This window comes from Homo sapiens, chromosome 3, assembly GCF_000001405.40.
Source record: "Homo sapiens chromosome 3, GRCh38.p14 Primary Assembly".
NCBI lineage: Eukaryota > Metazoa > Chordata > Mammalia > Primates > Hominidae > Homo > Homo sapiens.
In genome coordinates this window covers 30,689,425-30,695,424 of record NC_000003.12, presented here as the reverse complement: position 1 = coordinate 30,695,424, position 6,000 = coordinate 30,689,425, and the positions used below count along the sequence as shown (strand labels likewise).

Genomic DNA, 6,000 nt, shown 5'->3' with positions numbered 1-6,000 from the left:
AGCGCTCTCCCCCGATTATGTGTTCACACAGGACCCACGTTTCCTGTCCTGCAGACCTGGGGACTGTACCCATTTTCCTCTGTTGTAAATGCTCTCTAGGTTTGTACCTAAAAATCTGCTTCTTTGCCTAAGCAGTCCTTGGCATACTAAACCAACTTAACACTGGCCAGCATGTAGTGAAGGCTTTCCAAAAAGTTCAAGACCCATCTTCAAAAGCCTAATGTGTCTTCTTACCACAATTTTATCTTGTATAGGATGAGGCTTGTAAAATCTCATTTTACACATGATGAAACTGAGGCATGGAGAGGTTAAGTAATTTGCCCAGATCACAAAGCTGGCAAATAGAGGAGCAGGTAACCTCTACAGTTAGTAACCACTAAAATTGCTACTAATAAAGACAAGACTATAACTAAGGCCCACAGTAGGACCACATCATCTAGCTCAGTGATTCTCCACTGAGAGGAACTTTGTCTTTCAGGGGACATTTGGCAATGTCTGGAGAAATTTTTGGTTGTCACAGCTGTGGGGTGGGTGCTACTGGCATCTAGTGGGTGGAGGCGAGGGATACTGCTAAACATCCCACAGTGCACAGGACGGCTTCCCTCCCTCCCAACACACAATTATCCAATGCAAAAATAAGTCAGCAGTGCTAAGGTTGAAATACCCTGGTGCAGGCACTATGACATTAACTATTTAGAACCCAGTCGATAACTAAGAAGAAGCTACAGAATCTCTCAGATTCCAAAACAGGTAGCATGAAGTTCAGGCAGAAAATCTCGTGCACTTTGTCACAAGAAATGACCAGGAGACAATTTCCTAAGGCATATTCATCTCACCATTCATGTAAATCAATTAAAAGCACCAAATGGATGTGGTATCTGGGTAGAAAAGGGAAGCATGGAATATGACAAGAGTCAAGAAGAGAGCCAACAGCTTGCTAGTATGAGGAATAGAGAAAATAGAAGAAGCGGTAGAAACACTGGCTGTGAAAATCCCTGCAAGAAACAGCCATGTGGATAGAGGCAGCTCCTGAGACTGTGGGAAGAGGTCTTCTGGGCATTCAGAGGGACATCATGCCAGGACGCCAGCATGGCAGGCAGGCCATGAGCAGCATCTGCTTCATCTCATATTACTGAGCTTCTGTGACTTTTTTTTTTTTTTTTTTTTTTTTTTAAGGACTGTGAGACTGTCAGTTGAGAAAGACAGTATGAAAAAGTTGGAGATTATTTACTTGGTGACGTTTTCTGCATAAATTGCAAAATAACCAAATGAGGCAAATGGATTTAGCTACTAGGAATGGGAACAGGAGGCAGGATGCTCACCTGAGTATTTTGCTTTATTCAATCTAATAAACATTTTATTTATGTAAAAGACAAACAATGCATAGAATAAAAATAAGTGCTTGAGACTTTTGATATAAAAAGAGTATATAGCATTCACATTCCTATTTTAATACATGAGTACAGCTGAAGTGTTCCATAAAAGAATAAAACTTTCCCTTTATGTATAGTAGTGAAAAAAGTCAGTATTTTTAGGAACTACAGAATGTTATTCCTTGGTCTTTTTTCTTGAATAAGAAAAAAAAACATAAACAAAACAAGCCACAGTATCCTCTGACACTACATTCCAGTTTATGCTGATAACCCAGAAGTGAGAATACTCTTGAATCTTGAATATCTCATGAATGGACCAGTATTCTAGAAACTCACCACTAGAGGTCAATGGGCAACAGCTATTGGGATGGTATCAGCATGCCCTACGGTGCAAGTGGAATTTCTAGGCGCCTCTATGCTACTGCAGCCACACTGTCTTTAACTCTCAGCCCACCCACACTGAGGAGGGTGCCTAGAGGTTCTATTTCCAAACCTTTGCATGTATCTTAAAAATCTCAATAAAATGAGACCTTCCACCATCCAAACAGAGCTGATATTCTCACTACCAGTCCCTCTCTAATATTCCTATTTGGCTGAAAATAAGTAGCTTCAAAAAGTTTTAAAAAAGAGATTACTTGCAGCATTAACACTTCTTTGTTGATTAACAAGTTTCCTATGGAGTTTTAAAGCTCATACTTTGTTCTTGTCCTTGTGGACACAAATTTTCTAACTGCAAATGGGACCTTTGTGTCCCACATTCAAATCCTCTCTAGTAATTTCTGCAAAGGTTGAGAAGGCTGGCATGATGGAGAGAACGGTAACCATGAGGAAAGCTTCTTGGAGTAAAGCACTCCTCTCTCCAATGCAGAGGGTAAAACTATTAACATATAAGCAAAAGAAACTTGGGCTAACTGAGACCCTTAAAGGAGTTCCCCTTTAGTCCAATAAAAGGCCAACTTCAAATCTTAACACCAGATAAGGTAGTCAAAATCATATTATATACCCAGAGAATGACTGCTTGAATGGACATTTCTTACAAGGGACCTTGGTTAGGTGCAGATTTAATTCCTAGACTGGGGTCCAGGTAGGCAGTGGAAAGAGCTAATGTTTACAGTGAGAAGTGAGGCAGCTTTGTAAGTGTCTCCACACCTTCACATTTTGTGAACGTGGACTGGAGATAACTGAAAACCATCTGCTATCCTTACCTGGGGATCCAGATTTTCCTGCAAAATCTCCAAATATTTATAAAGTGGCTTCACTTTTTGAAACGCTGTGCTGACCAAACAAAACATATGTTTAGAGTGCCTGAGGTCATAGTCCTGACAATGATAGTATTGTGTAGTTGAAATCCTCTTCATCAGGCCAAACTGTGCTTGAGCAATCAGGAGCCCAGAAAGATGGAACCCATTGGTGTTTGTATAGAAAACTAGAAAATCAAGTCAAGTGTAATGAAAAAGTAAACACGATAAAGCCTAGAGTGAGAATTTGCTCCTTTTTAGAAAAGGATGAAGGCTGGGAGCAGAGAATAGTAACATAAGTGCAGGGGAAAGATGAAAAAAAGAACAATTTTTCATTAGTAGATGGTGGGGCAATCGCATGGATGGGGACATCTGTTCTGATTTTTCTGCAACCCATGAAGGTAAAAAGTGGGGTTCAAAACATTCAAGGTATTAAAGATGGGGTAGAGTTTCTAAACTAGGTTGAGGGAGAGTTTCTAAACTAGCCCCCCAGATTTGGGGCTTGGAGCTTAAATGAAAAGTCCAGGAGAAATAAGGGCACACAGGAACCCCGGGAACACTGGTCCTCAAACAGTGCCACTGTACTTAGTTCCATGGCCAGAAGAGAAGTGCTAGGCAGGGAATGATTATTTTGCAAAAGCAAGTGCAATGTGGTCATAGCTGGCTGTGAGACATGGAGCCTCTTTCCTCATGCAAAGTTCACTGTTTTACAGTCAGAGAACCACTGCATGTGTGATTGTCAAATGCTAATGCTGTCATGGGTCCCTTCCTTCTCTGCTTGGTTCTGGAGTTCTCCAATAAAACCAATTTCCTGGGAATATTTGATGTTTTTCCTTGTCTCTTTTCAAGGTATGGCTATATATATAGAGCTATAGACATATATAGATATATATATATATATATAAAACATAGCTATTCATATTTATATACAGGCATTAATAAAGTGCAAATGTTATTGGCTATTGTAAAAATCAATCTCATTTCCTGAGGAAGTGCTAACACAGCTTATCCTATGACAATGTCAAAGGCATAGAATGCTCTATGTCACCCACTCCCTGCTGCTGTTGTTTCTGCTTATCCCCACAGCTTACAGGGAGGGGAGTGACCCCCTTGGTTTTCCAGGAAGCATCAGTTCAGGGGCAGCTTCCTGCTGCCTCTGTTCTTTGGTGAGAGGGGCAGCCTCTTTGGACATGGCCCAGCCTGCCCCAGAAGAGCTATTTGGTAGTGTTTAGGGAGCCGTCTTCAGGAATCTTCTCCTCCGAGCAGCTCCTCCCCGAGAGCCTGTCCAGATGCTCCAGCTCACTGAAGCGTTCTGCCACACACTGGGCTGTGAGACGGGCCTCTGGGTCGTGGTCCCAGCACTCAGTCAACGTCTCACACACCATCTGGATGCCCTGTAGCGGGAAAGAGATCCAAAGGGCACCATGAGTTGGTGGGCTCCGCGGAAGGCAAGGTGGCCTGCTGACCTTGTTGCTATAGTGAGTGCAAGCAGGGTCCAAAAGTGCCTGTGCATTTAACATGTGCTGACTGAGTGCCTGCTGCTGCAGGCCAGCCAGTTCCATGTGGAAAGGGTGGTGGGGGGTTTGTGCTGGTGGCAGCTGTGCTCAAAACCTACCATACTTTTTGGCTCTGGTGCTATCTGATCACAATAGGTCCTGACAGCACAATGATCCTCTGCTGGGCTTCTGGGGTACACTAACACTCCCAACACCTGAAAATTCCCCATGTAGTGGCCCTTAATATCATTTCAACACCTTTCTATTTAGAGAAGTTCTCGCTTCACAGCAAAATTGAGTGGAAAGTACAGAGAGTTTTCACAAAACCCCTTCCCCATAAAGGCACAGCCTTCTCCACCTTGACATCATGCATGCATCTATGAGGTACATTTGTTATAACTGATGAACTAACACTGACGTATCATTATCAATCAAATTCATAGTTTACATTAGGGTTCACTCTTGGTGTTGTATATTCCAGGGGTTTTGACAAATGTATAATGACATGTATCTACCATTATAGTATCATGCGGAATAGTTTCTCTGCCCCTCAAATTCCCTGCATTCCACTTATTCATCCCTCCCTCCATTCCCCTAAATTTCTGGCAGCCACTGATTTTGTACTGTCTCTGTAGTTTTTGCCTTTTCCAGAGTGTCATATAGTTGGGTCATATACACTGTTCTATTTTAACAGGGCTGATTACCCCCGTCAGAATTGTATGCAGGCATTAGCATGGTTTCATTTTCTATAGGCCACACATTTTGTAGAGTGATTCAGTAGCAGCTTCTACGAGCTGCCAAGGATGACCTCTGGGATGCTCCATTCCTCTCCAACAACATTGGGTTGAACCCTGTGAAACAGCTGCCTATGTGGGTCAGGCATGCTTAACTCTATGCCATTTCCTAGGGTTCACCCTAACCGAATCAAGCTCCCATCCAAGGAGACCATCCAGGAGATCCTGCCCAGGAAGGTGGCAAGAGTTTTCTCTCACTGGCTTAATTTTTATTTTGCATTGCAAATATTTTTGTTATCATTTCAAATCCTTTTTGGAAATAAAGCAGGCAGGAGTTAAGTAAATGGTCTGATAGGTGGAAATAGAGTGTGCTCCTCCCAATTGTAAGATCAACATTGCTAATGGGATCCCTCACACAGGTGGCTGGGAGTGGGATGGATAAATCTCAAAACTACCTGGGAGAGCTGGCACTTTTTCTACTTGTTTTCTAATACCAACAACTTTCCAAACACACCTAGGAGCCTATCTCTCCCTCCCCACCCGATGAGTTCATGATGTTAAATTAATTGCATAATTCACCTAATTGACAGTATTGACAGATGGCCCTGTTAAGAGTAGAGTGCTATTGTTGGTACACAAGTAACATTTATTTTATTCTGGCACTGTAATTACAGGCAGTAAATTAAATTAAATATTAAGCATTAACTTGAAATCAATAGGGCAACAAATCTCATTATGAGAAAAAATGTATTATGCAAATTCTTTTCAGAATTTTATCATCATGAATAATGGCATCATTACGAGAACTATACAGCAGAGGAGGCAACAGAGTTTGAAAGAAACATAACACTCCAGCACATTCTGATTTCAGAATTTATGCAAAATATTCTTACAGTTTTAGTGTCAAAGAGGATTTGCTCAAAACTCCAGAGAAGCCTGTGACCCACCACAGCCTGGTTCCCCCTCGCCAACCTCCTCGGACTTTATTAAGGTCTGTCTGCTGAAGTGGCTCTGGGCCAGGACTGGCACAGACCAGACTTCCTGCTCCATTTGTCTTCCCGATTGTGCCTGATTTGTTGTTTCTGTTTCTTATCTGAATTTGCCTTGCCCTTAGGGAAACCAACAACTTAGCCTCGGCCTTCATGGTTGAGGGAATTCA

General features: G+C 42.2%; 1 protein-coding gene across 16 annotated transcripts in view; it reads right to left on the bottom strand.

Annotated features, from left to right (window-relative positions):
• TGFBR2 (transforming growth factor beta receptor 2) overlaps window positions 1,283-6,000 on the bottom strand; it is an 87,787-nt gene continuing 83,069 nt past the window's right edge. For all 16 annotated transcript variants that reach the window (NM_001407129.1, NM_001407132.1, NM_001407136.1 and 13 more), the window contains one exon: window positions 1,283-4,005. In NM_001407129.1, coding sequence (NP_001394058.1) covers window positions 3,826-4,005 — 180 coding nt within the window. In that variant the 3' untranslated portion in view covers window positions 1,283-3,825. The remainder of the gene's footprint in view (window positions 4,006-6,000) is intronic.